The 17705-nt window shown below is 39.1% G+C and overlaps 1 protein-coding gene across 2 annotated transcripts in view, besides 3 other annotated features; it reads right to left on the minus strand.

The window, feature by feature from the left end:
• Positions 1-6723, minus strand: part of MOXD1 (monooxygenase DBH like 1) — a 105421-nt gene extending 98698 nt beyond the window's left edge. Inside the window, exon 1 of one of the 2 annotated variants that reach the window (XM_017010714.3) lies at positions 6516-6723. In XM_017010714.3, coding sequence (XP_016866203.1) covers positions 6516-6674 — 159 coding nt within the window. In that variant the 5' untranslated portion in view covers positions 6675-6723. Of the gene's footprint in view, positions 1-6410 lie in introns of both variants that reach the window. The other variant, NM_015529.4, reaches the window with a different exon arrangement.
• Positions 6427-6476: a silencer, noted in NCBI's record as "silent region_17547". NCBI's record gives its function as "represses an Ori minimal core promoter by ATAC-STARR-seq in GM12878 lymphoblastoid cells {active_cell/tissue: GM12878}" and the evidence as "EXISTENCE:reporter gene assay evidence [ECO:0000049][PMID:35858748]".
• Positions 6607-6776: a silencer, noted in NCBI's record as "silent region_17548". NCBI's record gives its function as "represses an Ori minimal core promoter by ATAC-STARR-seq in GM12878 lymphoblastoid cells {active_cell/tissue: GM12878}" and the evidence as "EXISTENCE:reporter gene assay evidence [ECO:0000049][PMID:35858748]".
• Positions 6797-6936: a silencer, noted in NCBI's record as "silent region_17549". NCBI's record gives its function as "represses an Ori minimal core promoter by ATAC-STARR-seq in GM12878 lymphoblastoid cells {active_cell/tissue: GM12878}" and the evidence as "EXISTENCE:reporter gene assay evidence [ECO:0000049][PMID:35858748]".

Consider the following 17705-nt stretch of genomic DNA (forward strand, 5'->3'; position numbering starts at 1 on the left):
ATAACTCAGACAAAAATAAATTAAAAGGATAAAAAAAGAATGAGCAAAGCCTATATAACATCATAAAGTGACCAAGTATTTGAATTTAGGATCTGAGAAGGTGAAGAGAAAATGAAGGAGTTAGAAAACCTATTTAACAAAACAATAGATAAAAACTTCCCAAGTCTTGCAAAAAACTTTAGATATCCAGAAACAAGAGGCTCAAAGTTCTCCATATAGATACAATTCAAAAAGTTCTTCTGCTCAGCACATTATAGTCAAAATATCAGAGGTGAAAGACACAGAGAAAACTCAAAAAAGCAAGAGAAAAGCATCAAGTCACTTATAAAGGTACGTCTGTCAGACTAGACTAACAGCAGAAACCTTATAGACTAGGAAAGAATGGGCTGATATATTCAAGATGCTGAAAGGAAAAAAAACTGCCAACCAAGGATACCATACCCAGAAAAGTTATTCTTTATAAAATGAAAGAGAAATGAAGTCTTTCCCAGACAAGCAAAAGCTGAGGGAATTTATCACCACTAGACCAGATCTATAAGAAATGCCAAGGGAGTCCTACACCCAAAAGTGAAAGAACAATATCTAATATCATTAAAACACATGAAATATAAAAACTACTAGAGCAAACATACAAAGAAGGAAAAGACTAGAAGGTTACCACTACAGAAAAACCACAAAACCACAATAATAAAAAATAAGAGAGTAAGAAAGGAACAGAGGATACACAAAACAACTAGAAATCAGTTAATAAAATAAGAAGAATAAGCTCTCACATATCAATAATAACCCGGAATGTAAACAAATTAAAACTTTCACTTAAAAATACAGACTGGCTGAATGGGTTAAAAAACATGACCTGACTATACACTGCTTACCATACTCATCTCACCTGTAAAGCCATATACTAACTGAAATTAAAGGATGGGAAAAGAACTTCCATGCAAACAAAAATCAAAAGTGAGCATGAGTGGCTATGCTTATATCAGGTGAAACATACCTTAAGTATAAAACACTAAAAAGTGACAAAGAATGTCATTATGTAATAATAAAGGGATCAACTCAGCAAGAGCTGCATATATATTTAGAAATACAACAATTCTAAATACATATGCACTCAACACCAAAACACCCAGATCTATAAAGCAATTATTATTAGATCTAAAGGGAGTGATAGACTCCAACACAGTAATAGGAACGTTAATAGCCCACTCTCAGCATTAGACAGGTCATCTAAACAGAAAATTAACAAAGAAACATTGGATTTAAATTACACATTAGACTAAATGGACCTAACAGACATTTACAGAACATTTCATCCAACAGCTACAGAATATACATTCCTCTCATCAGCACATGAAACATTCCTTAGGACAGCCCATATGTGAGGACACAAAACAAGTCTCAACAAATTTTAAAAAATCGAAATCATATCAAGTATCTTCTCAGACCACAATGAAATAAAACTGGAAACCAATAACAAGAGGAACTTTGGAAACTGCACAAATACATGAAAATTAAACAACATACTCCTGAATGACCAATGGGTCAAGAAAGAAATTAAAGAGGAAAAAAAAATTCTGAAATAAAATGGAAACATAACATATCAAAACCTATAGGGTACAGTAAAAGCAGTGCTAACAGGAAAGTTTATAGCAACAAACACCTACATCAAAAAGTAGAAAGATTTCAAATAAATGATCTAATAATTCACCTAAAAAAAACTAGAAGAACAAGAAAAACCACACCCAAAATTAGTAGGAGAAAAGAAATAATAAAGATCAGAGCAACACTAAACAAAACAGAGACAAAAAAAATACAAAGGATCAATAAAAGGAAGTTAGTTTTTTGAAAAGATTAACAAACTTGATAAACAACTTGCTAGAATAACCAAGAAAAAAAGAGAATACCCACATAAAATCAAAAATGAAAAAATAGACAAGTATAACTGATATCAAAGAAATGCAACAGATTATCAGGGACTATTATGAACAACAATACACTCACAAACTAGAAAACCTAGAGGAAATAGATAAATTCCTTGACTCATACAACCTACCAAGACTGAATCAAGAAGAACTAAAAAACCTGAATAGACCAACAATCAGTAATGAGATTGAATCAGTAATAAAAAGTCTCCCCCAACATAGAAAGTCCAAGACTTGGGGCTTCACTGCTGAATTCCCATGTGACTGTCTTCTTACGTGATGTTCAGATAGAGTCTACATTCCCTCTTGAATCTAGTGGGCTTGTGACCACAGTGAAAGACTAAGTCATAAAAGGCTGTACAGTTGCCACCTGGCCTCTTGGTTCCCTCTTGGGACCTGCCACCATGCTGTGACAAAGTCAAGCAGCCACACAGAGAGGCTATGATCCTACCACAGCACCAGGCAAGGTCCCTGCCAAGAGCCAACATCAACTGCCAGCCATAACTTCAAGGAAACAAGGCTTCATATTCTTCCAACCACCCACTTTGGAGTTGTCCCCACCAAATTTCAGACTTGTGAGCAAAAGAAATTTGTCATTGCGTTAAGCTACTCTGTATGGAGATGGTTTGTTACCAAGAATAGACAGCCAGAACAATGGGCAAAGCCCCCAATACTGGACCCATTTCCTGGCATAGAATAGAACTGGCCTAAAAAGAAATGGGACTTGCTTCTCTGCCTTTCATGAATTTTCATTATTTGGGTTGATTCTTTATTAACATTAGACTTTCTCTCTGAGTCCCAGATTAGGCTGTCTATAAGATATATCCCAGCTGAAATTGTGTGTGAGTGTGTGTGAATGCACACTATATGATGGTTGAATTGTTGCCAGTATTTAGTAATTAGATTTTTATTTAAACACACACACACACACTCACAGAGAGAGAGAGAGAGAGAGAGACAGAAAGAAAGAAAGAAAGAAAGAAAGAAAGAAAGAAAGAAAGAAAGAAAGAAAGAAAGAAAGAAAAAGAAAGAGTAAAGAGAATCTAAATTTTGTCTTCTCTCAAAATAAAAGAACAAACAGAAGATCTGGCAATACTGAATTTACATTCCTTTTTAACAGTAATTCACTCACAAAACCCCCAGTTCCCTCAGTGCCATCTCCTCTCTGTTGCATTACATCCTGCCTGTTCCATTCAAGCTCTCATCACTCTTTTTTCTCATTTTTTAATTTATATAAATGTATGCGTTACAAGTGCAGATTCTTTACACACAGAGATTGCATAGTGGTGAAGTCAGGGCTTTTAGTGTATCCATAACCCAAATAACATACATTGTAACAAATAAGTAATTTCTATTCCTCCACACCTTCCCACTCCTTCACCCTTTTGAGTCTCTATTGTCTATCATTCCACACTCCACATCCTTGTGTACACATTATTTATCTCCCACTTATAAGTGAGAACATGCAGTATTTATCTTTCTGCATCTAGCTTGTTTCACTTAAGTTAATGGCCTCCAGTCACTCTTAGATTTATTTCCTGACATCTATAGACATTTGGACTTGTGACATCTATTAAGCCAATGATTCTCTACCTGATCGATAAAAATTTACACTTACATAGTTCTCAAGGAGTTAACACCCTTTTGAAAGAAGAGTTTAATATAATTAGGAAAATAAAAGTCAGAAAAATTTTTAAAAACTAAAGTTTTAGTTTAAAATTAAATTTAAAAGGATAAAATAAAATACATGCCAAAAAGCCACATGATGAGGTGACTAGGATAGCAACTTAGGTTATTATCATACACCCTGGTGTAATTGTCCAACTCTTAGTGGCTGCTGTGCATTTATTGATGCCCCGGGAGCCAATGTTTTTTGTGTCATTGTTCTATATAAATGTTGTTCTCGCCGGGAGCAAAATTACACAAAACATGAAGTCTACTAATAGAATCAAATATGCTACATTTAAGAATCCTATTTATGGCCTGGCGTGGTGGCTCACGCCTGTAATCCCAGCACTTTAGGAGGCCGAGGCAGGTGGATCACCTGAGGTCAGGAGTTTGAGACCAGCCTGGCCAGCCTGGTGAAACCCGGTCCCTACTAAAATACAAAAATCAGCCTGGCATGGTGACAGGCGCCTGTAATCCCAGCTACTCGGGAGGCTGAGGCACGAGAATCACTTGAACCTGAGAGGTGAGGTTGCAGTGAGCCGAGATTGCACCAGTGCAATCTAGCCTGGGCAATAAAGAGAGACTTTGTCAAAAAAAAAAAAAAAAAAAAGAGAATCCTATTCACTTTTTGGTATAGTTGCTGAAAATACTCTTCTCACACTAGTGTATGAAGAACCTTAAATAAATAGTTTCTAGAGAGGAGACTGAATTTCGAGCGTTGGAGAATGGAATCATTCAGCCTGAATAATAAAACTGAAATTGATACATTTATTTCATTTATATTATTTGGTGTATTTCATCTTATTAAACAGATTTTAAGTTAACTGTCTTTCCATTTAATTGAATAGCATAATTTTAATGCATTTTATATGTCCTAAAATGAGTAGAATGTTTATGGAAATGGAAGGTAAAATATGTCAGCCAAGTAAGAAAACGATCATCCTTTACATGTAAAAATGATTTTATTTCCTTAGGAATAAAAATGGACGGGAAGTCCTATTTATTGCTCATTAAATGTATTGAGAATGCAGCCAGTCATAATTTATCTCATAGTGATGTGTATTCACTAATTACTTTAAGAAAATTTCTATGTTTCAAAATCAATCTAAAGAGTACTTAACTAAGTCCTATGCAATCTCTATGAAGAACCACAAACAGGGTGAAAACACTGTAGTTTAACCAAGTTTATCTTTGTGGTGGGCCTATTATGGCATGTTGAATCAGAATTCTACTCACGGCTTTTCATTTGACATACAATTGGCTGGGCTTTCTAGAAATGCTACTCTTTGAGGGAAAATAATATGGAGTTAACATTCAAAGTATGTCCCATTTTATAATATTAGCATAGTAAGAGTTATGCTCCCTTTTGTAGAACATGCAAGGATAGTTAAGGGGCATACTATACTCCTCTCCCTAAACGGTAAAATTTCTTTTTTAAAAAACGTTAAATAGGTATTTAAATAAGGTATTGTCTACTTTATATTACAGGAGAATGAGTCATTCCCCTAGTGAGGCCTGCATTTGTGGTCAAATACTTGGTTCATAAAGTTAATGTCTGAGATGCTGCAGGAGGAGAATATTTATACATCAGTGACTTCAGCAGAATGCAATCCTCATAAAACTTTATTTTATTGGAGTTGTAAAGTTACTTATTTGGGGGAAGAAACGATTAATTTATGAAAAAATAGATAATAGAGTGGTTTTGAACTTTTTATTGTTGTCACTTTATTTCCTTCCAGAGTTAACAGCTCAGTGCCAGAATCAGCGTTCAAGTTTGATGGCATATTTCAGTCGAAAAGAACCTGGGGATAAAATTACTAAGAAGCGCACTCTAAATCCACGGAGAACACTGATTTAAATACTATCAAAGCCTTAATGCAATGCCAGAACAATTCGGAGTTTTCATCTGGATCAAGACTTTTAGCAAAGGGCAGTATGTTCGGATGAATTTTTATAATAACAAAGCGTGTACGTTCACCGCCATCCAAACGTTGGTCACGATCAAGCAAGGATGTCCAGGAAACCTAGCCACCTAATCATTCTGGTCATCTCACAATCTTCTTCTTCCTTTTTTTTTTTCTTTCTATTTAGTAAAGCACCCATGAACAGGCAAGGTGGTTACTTAGGCTCCTTCAAAGTAAATCAGCAGCGGTCAAATTAACTTTATTGGTTATTAAAGTAAGCCAAAGTTTTGTCACTTCATAGGATATTTTGCCTGGGGACCTTCGATTTTGGTCTCTAAATGTGGCTTCCTGAACAGCTCTCGGAATAGGAAAGTCCCTAAGCGATTCTTAGGGGCCCTTCATTCTTCTGGAGAATGGTGTAGCTGACATCAGCCCCGCGCCTGGAGGCTCCCAAATAGCCACGATTTGGGAAGTTCTGAGATTTCCACTCCTAGACAGCAAGTCCGCGACGTACTAAAGCGCTCTGTCCCTTCCCTCCTCTGAGAGCTGTCCCATTAGGTCCCCAAAGCCAAAGCCTAGGTCCTTCTCCCTTCCCATCAGGGATGAAGCGGGGTGTATTGCAGGTGTGTAGGCGGGGGGGCGTCTATTAAGTGGGGCGCTGGGGACAGGAAAGTGTTCAAAGAAGGAAACCTGCCTGGGGTCATCCGTGCTCGGCTTCCCTACCGCGCGCCTTCTGGGGCTCCGGGAGAGCAGGCGCTGCCCGCGGAGGCGAGAGTGAGCGTGGCCGGGGGCGCGGGGCTGCGCCAGGTGAGAGAGAGCTGCGGGCCCCGGGGACGACCCGCACCTGCGCCCTCTCTGGGGTCCGGACGGGACCGGGCTCGGCCGGGCGGGCTCCGGGAGGAGACGCGCTTACCTGGAGGTAGGGCCGCCCGTGGGCCACCCCGCCCACGACGATGTCGGCGGACGCCATGGCCCCGGTGGGCGAGAAGCCGAAGCCCACGTAGCCTGCAGTGCGCACCTGGAGGCGGAAGGCGATCTGGCTGCCCCGCTGGCTCCAGCCCAGCCAGTACTTGCCCTCCGAGTCCAGGAGGGTCCGGTGCGGATAGGTTCGGCCCGAGCCCCCCGCCGCCGTCCCGGGGAGCAGCCCCCACAGCAGGAGCAGCGGCCAGCAGCACATCCTCGGGCGCCTCCTGCCCGCCGGTACCGGCCTCCAGCCGCTGGGGAGTGAGGAGCAGAACGAGGAGCGGCAGCGGCGGCGAGCGGGAGCCCAGGGACCGCCCCTCGGGCCGGCCGCGCGCCCGCCCGGGAGGGGCAGGACCCGCTCTCCCCGCCCCGGGCCGCCTGCAGGGCGCGCCGCGTCCCGTCCGGTCCCGTCCCGTTCCGTCCCGTCGGGTCCCAGCCCCGCCAACTCTCACCCTGCCCGGCCCTTCCAGCGGATCCACTTGCAGCCCCCGACCCCTGACTTGGTCCCCGAGGTCGGGGCTCGGTGGGAAGGAAAGCGAGGGGCTTCCCGGAAAGAAAGGGAGGAGGAGGCAGGAGGAGGCAGACGCCGAGAGAGGAGAAAAGGAGGCCAGAGGCAGAGGGAAAAGGAGGAGGGCAAGAGAATCCTAGAGCGGGAAGAGCGTGGGCTCTGCGGGACGTGGGCGAGAGGTTACCAGGGAAAGAATGGACATTGACGGCAGAGAGCAAGTTTAGCCTGGAGAGGAGGAATTGAGTGAGCAAAGGGGGTAGTCTGGGGTGCGATGCACAGAAAGGCCCGTCCAGGGTAACCTTCACGTCTCCGTATCCGTTGCTGTCGACTTTCCAGAGCCTTTGTTCCCAGTGACGTCCCTATTGCAATGGAGGGACACACTTCACTTTCCCCAGCCCCCCACCTCGAGAATTTCTCTCACCCTCCCACCCTGCGGGGCCGCAGAGCTTGCTCCTCACGGCAGGAGTTGGAGCCCTGACGCTTGCCTTCACCTAGTTTTTGTTTGGTTTGGTTTGGCGTTGATGGGACAAAGTCAGCCAAACTACTTTGCCATCAGCAGAGAAGGTAAGGGGTGAATTGTCATTTGAGAGTTATATTTTAATTTAACATTCTCTTTTCTTGCTATTCCAAGTTCTGGCCATAACCATGTTTGTCAAAAGTTTGTTTTGTTTTGGTTTTGCCTCTACCTTTGACCACTCCTGTCTTTAGAATGCTAAATACAAATATGGCCACTAAAATTTACCTTGCTTATTTATTCCTTTATTTATGATCTGCCAAGTTTCCAAAAAAGTTCGAAATTTTGTCTTTATAAAAATACAAACAATGCAAAATAGAAAAACAAATAAGAGAGAATATCAGATGAGAAATATGGGTAAGAAGAGCAAGCTCCACACTAGCCACCCTACACTCCTCATTCTCTCTCCTCACCTCGTATTTCAGCCTGTTTTTCCCCCTGCCTATCTTTTCCCATAACTTTTCCAAAGTTACCGTCATGCATCTAATTTATATTCTTCTAAGGATACGGGAATATTTGATCATGTCTGGAAGGTGACCTGTAGGTGGATCTGCTTACCAAAGTGCTCAGGGACTTGCCTGGGAAGGGACTTTTCCCAAGGAGAGATTGGATCAAGGTCCGCAGGGCTGGCCAATGGCAATAGGCCAGCATCAGAGAAGAGTGATGTTGGAACCGCAAAATAAAATGAGAAATAAAAGAGCCTGCAAAGCCTTACAAGAACTGGGCATGGAGACTATGAAATATAAGTAGCTGGTGCCTCACCTCCACCAGGACCCACTGGGCAAATGTCAAGGGCAGTAACAGCCATACAGCAATGTAAGGGTGGCAACCTTAGAATTGGGTTTTTACAAGCACCATACCAGGGACGTGGCTTCAGCCATGAAGAAAGGAAGGGGGATATGGAGAGAAAGAGGAACAAAATAGGGGGAATGGAGTCCCAGAGGAGTGGCTCATGGCACCGGGTGGGACACACTCACTATCCTCTCACTATCCTGGGCAGGGATTTCAGGGAAGTTAAATTACTGCAGAGTGACTAAAGGCAAACTTTCTGTTTTGTGACCCTACTTTTATTCCTAGTGTGGAGGAACCTGGAACAAGCACATTGCTACATCTGCTTCCTGGGGTTCGTTATATAAACCCCAAATTCACATCTATTAGGACATTTTGTCTCCTTAATGAAACAAAAAGAGGTCATGCCTTCCAGAATTCTTCCCCCATTAACTGTTTTAGCTTTACCTTCCATCACTCCCATCTCACTCACCCATCGGCCTGTAGACCACATGAAAAATCCCTCTGGAATCCTCAATGGAGAGCCGTGCTATTTTGCATCACTGTGCCTATTCGCAGGGTTTGTCACTTCTGCCTTCCTTCCTTTGAAGTATTTTCTTGTCCTCCTTCTCACACTTCACTGTAAGATAGCATCCTATCTGTGGATACTATCCACGGTAGTCCCCATGGAATGTTCTGCCAGACCCCATATGGCACCCCTGACACTTCAGTGTACTTTCTGTCTACAGGCTTGTTTTCCTCCAGTAGCCTCTTTAGGTCAGGAACCATGTCTGGTTTCTCATTGCCTAGAATGTGGACATCTTGCAATAGGTGCTTAATGAATACTTGTAGGACGAGTGAACAGATGCATGCCCAGATGCTCCTGTAAGCATCCTCGTAACAAAGTTGTTCTGTGGGGGAAACCTTGGCCCCAGATGTAATTGAGTGTTCTGCATTGGTATTGAGGCAAACATAGAAAAGACCACACATGAATACACAAAGGAGAAAGTTTTCAATTGTTTTCATTTATTATTTCATTGAGTGTAAAGTTATTGTCTTTTGTTGTGACTGGCATTGCATCCGAAACGCCTTGAACATTCAAGAAACATTAAAACTAATATAACCATTTTGAGATCAGGTCAACAAACAGAACATTAGCATAATTCATACTCAAGAGATCCACTCTGCTTTGGCTTGAATCACCCAGTAATTTGAGACAGAATAGAAAATGTTATCTATGTGTGCTTTGTACGCTGCTTGAGTTTTCTGGATCAAAAGCAACTCTACACTTCAGTTGCATAGAGGACTCAATTTTCTGATGTTGGAAATCAATTACTGCATTGCTGCTTGTCTTAAATTTGTAACGAAGGCAGGAAGAAAGCATAGGTCTGTTGAAAACTTAGGGAATGTAGCAGAGAGGAGAATGAAATTAGTGGTAAAGGGTTTCAAAATTAGTTTTTAAAACTACTGTTTTTGTTAAAACTGAAACTTGCTGGTTATTTAAAGAAAAAGGTCAGGAAATGCAGAAAAGTGTGAATAACAAAGTAAACTTAAAAAATCACCTGAAATTCCACCATCCAAAAATAACCCTTGTATGCATTCCAGGAACATCATTCCAGAGCCCAGTTCCATTAAAAGGTTGGAGGAGCAGTCTGTTGGGCAAGCATTTGCAGAGAAACAGGTGAATTAGCTTTGTAAGACTCTGCTTGAAATAAACAGAGCGACTTTAAACATATTAGTTACAAGCACATTGTTTAGGCTTCTTCTCTCCACATATATCCTTTGGATACATGAGTAGACAAAAGAAATCAAATAGACAAAACTAGCGATTCAGTGAGGTCTTACTTAAGTTCAGAACATTCAACCAAATTAGTCATTCCTAAAATGAATCATTTTCTCACACTTTTCAATCAAGGATTTGAAATGTTATATTTATTTTAACTCCTCACTTTGATACATAGCTTGCAATCTGCCAGTGTGACTGCCCCCATGCTGAGTTTCCTTACCTCCAAACCCTCTGTTGCTAAGGTTTGTTTGTATTTCTACATTAGTCGACTGCAAGGGGTTGGGGGAAGGATTGAGGAAAAAAGAAAACCCAAGGGACGATTATAAGCCAATGCAGTCTCCCTATATGAGCTAGGATGGGCTAAAGTATTTCTTCTTGAGAGTATCATAATTTTCCTGCTTACTTGTACCTAAGGTTCAACAATAATGCTAAATATTTATAAAGTTCCTGTCTTCTAGGGAGCTCAGAGAAAAATATTTATGTAAGTGATCTCAGCAGTTCTCCAAAATAGGGAAGCTGAAGCATTTTCTCACATTAGTCTATAAACTAAGTCACTTGTGTGGATAGGTGACTGGTTCAAGTTCATACTATGAGTCAGTGGCAGAAAAGCCAAAAATAGAACTACGGTGTTTTGAGGGTTTTTTTTAACTACATACTTTCTCCAGCTCTCACCTCACCTCCAATAAAAAAAAAAATTAAAGCTATTAGGTAATGATCATGAAACATTCTTTCAGCAGGGCTGATATTTTTTACATGAGCAAGATGCTATGATCTACTGTTAGCTCAATGTTATATATTCATTTTAATAACAGATGATATTGATGATAGTCATGTGGATGGAGAAGGTGAGGATATAGTGCATTTACTCCTATTATCAGGAAATTTGAGACTTGCTTAACTGAATTCTTGAGGTTTCTTTGAAATTGAGTGCCAGTTGGCACAGAAAATCACTCTTAGGTTCTTATGAAAATCATAGCAAGCAAACCACTTTCTCTGTGCAAATCCTAAACTTTAGTAGTATCTATAAACTATGCTCTGAAATAAAACTGTTCAACTAAAAATAGTCTGTGGAAAAAAAAGGAATGCTCTTTTTTTTTAATCACTAATGACCGTCTGTTATAATTTCCCTTTACAGGGAACCATAATGTGTATCAAAAATGTGGTAGGGAAGAAATAGATTTACTAAATAGTCTATATTAATGTAAAGCCATGTTTAAAATGTTGTGTAGGGGATTTATGAGACTAATCGATTGGAAATTGTACTCATCCGAGTGATCTGTGGCACAAAATAAATATCAATGCCCTCACACTTTGGCAAACCTCACTTATAAGAGGGCAAGCCAACTGAAGCTGCCAGTGATTATAGTAAGAGAAAGTAGGAGTAATAAAATGTGCTGAATTAGTTATAAGAATGTCAGTCTTGCAAGGGTAGAGACTCTCTAATCCATACCCTCATCTTGCAAATAGAGTCCTAGAGAGGAGTGAATTGTTTAAGCCTACAGTATTTTTAATAGATACAAGCAGGAAGGTTGGTGGCCTGACACAATTAACAACAATGCCTGGCTCCCCCACATCCTCTTCTTAACAGTTGTTCTTTTGGGTGTCTCAGGTCACCACTGGAATTACATTTACCAAGCTTTAGCTTCTATATACGTGTTGAGAGAAAAAGTAGAAAGGAAGAGGGCATTGTGAAAATAGTGATATTCTCTCCAAGCAGAACTCCCTAGAAACCACCTTTTTGATTATTCTGTAGACTTGGCCCTTAAATACTTGTACTTCTGTATGCTTAGAATTCTATGGCCATTAATTTAAAGAAAAGCCTAGGTTTAGTCAAATTGAGCAACCAGCATCAATTCAAAACTAAAAACAAATTGAACTCCACACTGAGAATAAGAGGATTCAGTACTACTCACTTGATTCAAAAATGCCACATGTGGTTTTGGGGAGCTTTAAAGAAATTTCTACCATGATAAAGAAAACATAAGGACTAGATACATAAATATAAAAATTTAATTTTCCAGAAACCTAATTGAAGTCATTACAGTCATTACTAGGAATAATAAACAATGACTAGAGGTTCCCTTAATTGAAAAGCTGAAATGATTAGCAATTATTTTTCACATGGAAACTGACAAATATGACATATTCTGGGAATGGGTGTTAAGCCTTTGAAGCTTCTTATCAATACATGAATAAAAAAGAAAATGTGTATGTTTGTTTTCTATGCTGCAAGATTTTATTTTCTTTTATTTCTAAATCTAAGCTCACATCTCAATTCTTTGAAAATTTCCACATTTAAATATCCAAATTAATGATCGCCTTCTAACTGGTGTGAGATGGTATCTCATTGTGGTTTTGATTTGCATTTCTCTGATGGCCAGTGATGATGAGCATTTTTTCATGTGTCTTTTGGCTGCATAAATGTCTTCTTTTGAGAAGTGTCTGTTCGTATCCTTCGCCCACTTGTTGATGGGGTTGTTTGTTTTTTTCTTGTAAATTTGTTTGAGTTCTTTGTAGATTCTGGATATTAGCCGTTTGTCAGATGAGTAGATTGCAAAAATTTTCTCCCATTCTGTAGGTTGCCTGTTCACTCTGATGGTAGTTTCTTTTGCTGTGCAGAAGCTCTCTAGTTTAATTAGATCCCATTTGTCAATTTGGACTTTTGTTGCCATTGCTTTTGGTGTTTTAGACATGAAGTCCTTGCCCATGCCTATGTCCTGAATGGTATTGCCTAGGTTTTCTTCTAGGGTTTTTATGGTTTTAGGTCTAACATTTAAATCTTTAATCCATCTTGAATTAATTTTAGTATAAGGTGTAAGGAAGGGATCCAGTTTCAGCTTTCTACATATGGCTAGCCAGTTTTCCCAGCACCATTTATTAAATAGGGAATCCCTTCCCCATTTCTTGTTTTTGTCAGGTTTCTCAAAGGTCAGATAGTTGTAGATATGTGTTATTATTTCTGAGGGCTTTGTTCTGTTCCATTGGTCTATCTCTCTGTTTTGATACCAGTACTATGCTGTTTTGGTTACTGTAGCCTTATAGTATAGGTTGAAGTCAGGTAGCGTGATGCCTCCAGCTTTGTTCTTTTGGCTTAGGATTGACTTGGCTATGCGGGCTCTTTTTTGGTTTCATATGAACTTTAAAGTAGGTTTTTCCAATTCTGTGAAGAAAGTCATTGGTAGCTTGATGGGGATGGCATTGAATCTATAAATTACCTTGGGCAGTATGGCCATTTTCACGATATTGATTCTTCCTATCCATGAGCATGGACAGGTGCTAGAGAGGATGTGGAGAAATAGGAACACTTTTACACTGTTGGTGGGACTGTAAACTAGTTCAACCATTGTGGAAGTCAGTGTGGTGATTCCTCAGGGATCTAGAACTAGAAATACCATTTGACCCAGCCATCCCATTACTGGGTATATACCCAAAGGATTATAAATCATGCTGCTATAAAGACACATGCACACGTATGTTTATTGCAGCACTATTCACAATAGCAAAGACTTGGCACCAACCCAAATGTCCAACAATGATAGATTGGCTTAAGAAAATGTGGCACATATACACCATGGAATGCTATGCAGCCATAAAAAAGGATGAGTTCATGTCCTTTGTAGGGACATGGATGAAGCTGGAAACCATCATTCTCAGCAAACTATCGCAAGGACAAAAAACCAAACACCTCATGTTCTCACTCATAGGTGGGAATTTAACAATGAGAACACATAGACACAGGAAGGGGAACATCACACACTGGGGCCTGTTGTGGGGTGGAGGGAGCGGGGAGGGATAGCATCAGGAGATATCCCTAATGTTAAATGACGAGTTAATGTGTGCAACACACCAACATGGCACATGTACATATATATGTAACAAACCTGCACGTTGTGCACATGTACCCTAAAACTTAAAGTTTAATAAAAAAATCCAAATTAGATAATTAACTCAGCTTTACAGAAATACTATTTGATCTTCAAAGGCATCTTTTCCCTTACTTAAATACTTAAATAAAAGACTGTACAAGTTAAACCAAATAATCTATAGCAGTGACTGTCACTGCTATAATTGATCAGATAACTTCTGTTACTTCCCTTAAAACAGTATTGACAAGACAGGGTCTATCAAAACCCCAGACAATTAGAAAATTAGCCTTAGAAGTTAAACCATCAATAATAATGATAACATAGGAACATAACCAGAATGATAATTTCGAAGGAGTCCGGACTTGGAAGAATATCACTATATTTACAATGCCCTCTTCCTCTTTACTCTTTCTCCTTCTCAAATGTTTATGGAAATTAATACTTGGCAAAACCAATCCCAACAGTGAAACTGAGATACCAAAAGAATAAAGAATAACTTTTAAGAGGCGGATATGGAAGGAGTCAGGCATTGTTAGCATTAGGAATAAAACCATGACCATAATCATAATATGCTTACTCAGGGGTACAGGTATGTTACATAGATTGTCTCATTTAATCTTTACAACAACCTTATGAGGTCAGTGTTGTTCTCTCCATTTGGAGGAAACTAAGGGAGAAAATTGTTTTTCAGTTATTATAAAAGCAAAGACAACAAGATATTTTCTCAATTGTGAAGGAATTCTTTTTTAATATTACATGTTCCAGGACATGGTGGCTCATGCCTGTAATCCCAGCACTTTAGAAGGTTGAGGTGGGAGGATCACTTGAGGCCAGGGGTTTGAGACCAGGGATCACTTGAGGCCAGGGTCTCAACATGGTGAGACCCTGTCCCTAAAAAAGAAAAAAAAAATTAAATGTTTCACAAGTTATTCCATATCTTATTAAACAATTCTATTGGTAGTATTTTTGTTAGATACAAATAAGCAAACCATAGTAAGTCAATTTGCTACACATGTTTGGAGTTTTTCTTGACACAAGTTTCTAAAATTTTATGTGCTTACTGAGTTCCCAGAGGAGTGGCTATATACTGAAATTGGTTATATAGCAATGGGACATATAAAATTTTAGTGTTAAAAAGGGCATTGTGGGGGACGTGATATGGAGAGGGAAAATGATTTTGAGTGAAATCGAAGAAAGAGAGTCATCTTTTTTCTTTTTCTCTCTTATCCTGTCTCTCTCCACACACACACACACACACACACACACACAGTGACACACACACACACATACACACACTAAAGTAACTTCAATTATTCTTGTTAGAGGAAATGGTAATAATCATTTTTCTCCTCTTTTCAAACGTTAGGAAAAGGAGAACTAATCATGTAGAAAATTTAAACTTTATGTAACATAAAATGAAAGTGGATATTTTTTAAGGAGAAACTTAGAGAAAAGTGATCTAGCTATCTTTTTCAAGTATACCGTCAGTGATTAGAATACACAGCAACAGAAAGTTATGGAGAAAATTGCCATGATTACATTTGTTTTAAATTGTGAGTTTATCTTGTGACCCCTTGTGATATTAGAGAGTACAGGCACTTAGATAATTCAGATCATGACTACAAACATAACATTAACCAATTAGTGGGCACAAAATATTTTGAAAATCTAATTTTAAAAAGAAAATTTGCCAGGCCTGGTGGCTCATGTCTGTAATCCCAACACTTTGAGAGGCCAAGGAAGAAGGATCACTTAAGCCCAGGAGTTCAAGACCAGTCTGGACAACATAGTGAGACCCCATCTCCACAAAAATTTTTTTTAAAAAATTAGCCATGTGTAGTGGTGCATGTTTGTGGTCCCAGCTACTCAGGAGGCTGAAATAGGAGGATCAATTGAGCCTGGGAGGTCAAGGCTGCAGGGAACCATGATCACTCCACTGCACTCCAACCTGGATGACAGAAAAAGACCATGTCTCAAAAAAGAAAAGAAGGAAAAGAAAAGGAAAAAGGAAGGGAAACTTGTTTTCCTTTTAAAAACTGATAAATAATATTTATTTTTGCTAATTACACTGTAGGACTGTAAAATCAGAAAAATAATCAAACCTAAGAGAGTCAAAAGATATCATGATTTGGTATCTAAACCAGAGAAATCCAATATTATTTGTATATTTAATATATTGTTAAAAAGCCCTTTTGACTAGCAAAACCAACATTTTGATTTGAAAATATTTCAAAAATATCTACTCTTGTGATTTATCTTGTGTAGGTTCATCTATGTGAAGAATATTTAGGAGGCCTAAATATTCAAGGAAAGGAACTTTGACTTGACCTCTAGGAATCACTTTCATCTGCCTCCCAGAAAGAGGAAGCCAAATGGCCAGCCAACACAGACCACGTCTAGCTCTGAGAACTTCCTCTTTAAAAGCGATCTCTTAATTCAGTGTTGCAGAAATTCCTGGATCGATCTATTTCCCTAGGAAATAATAAGTAATAGGAAAGCATATTCATTCTTAATTCTTTAATTCACAGTGAACAAGAGCAAATGCCATGTGGTAAACTGCATGTTATTTAATAAGAGTGGTAAAGTTAGACAAACTGATCGATTATGTGGTAGTTATTCTTAAAGCATATTTATTGTCCATTCTGCATTACCTAATGGAACAAATGACTCCTTTAATATAAAGAAATTACCTGAAAAGCATGTATTTAAGATAATGTCAATTCCGCATGTTTCTTTTGGCTGAAAAGAGAAAAAGAACTAGAAAAAGCAACAGATTGAATTCCTCTGAATGAGTCAGAAGAGTGGGAGATGTGTAAAAATCAGGACGAGGGTGACAGCGGGATACCAGAGTCCTACCTGCATCAGTCCCATGGCCTCAGCCCATGTGATCCCCACCTCCCTTGGATACCAGATTTCAAGGTAAATTTCCATCAATTATGGCCACTGCATTAATTTGGCTAGTTCGTAGCATTTCACAAGGGAGCTTCTAAACCTGGAGAACAAGAGCTTGGGTTCTTCCAACAGACAACAGAATTTAACCTAAATAGATTACCCAGGAAAGCTCTGCCCAACTGACATAGACATTGATGACAGGGAAGACAAGCTAGTGCAAAGAGATGATAGTAGCAGTAGAGCTGAACTAACAATCCAGCCTGAAAAGGAAAGTTAAAGATTAAAATATAGTTTAAATATATGTGAGATACTATGTCAGATTTGTGAGCAGTCTTTTATGTGGTTGTGATTAGAAGAATGATCTTCATCTATAGAACAAATTTTAGTTGGGGGAGCACCACAACTTTAAAACCAGAAAGTCTAAGAACATTGTGATTTTTATGGAAAGAACGCTTTAAGAAATAGTACTCAAATATTTAATAGAAGGAAATGTTCACAGGATTCATTCTATAATGGAAAAATATTGTTTTCTGAAAAATCTCCCTTTTGTAAATATTTACCATGATTTACAAATCTCTCTACTTTTACCAATGATTAAAAATTATTAAAGCAGTTGATTTTCATGTAACTAGAGAATGTCTAAGCAAGAAAACATTTAAAAATTTCAAGTATATTATGAAACAAAACCTTTCTAAGAAACCATTCACTTCCTTAACTCATTGGGATTCACCCGTTTGTATATTTTGTTTGCTTGAAATTTGTGAAATGTTCATTTAGAGGTTGAAATGCAGGATTTTACTTTATTTATTTGCAAATACATTTGAGAATCTATTTTGTACCTATAGGTTGTAGGTACTGGAGATGTGCTAACAATACTCATTCGTTCCCCTCGTGGAGCTTGCATTCTAGTA

The sequence above is a fragment of the Homo sapiens genome, chromosome 6 (genome assembly GCF_000001405.40).
Source record: "Homo sapiens chromosome 6, GRCh38.p14 Primary Assembly".
NCBI lineage: Eukaryota > Metazoa > Chordata > Mammalia > Primates > Hominidae > Homo > Homo sapiens.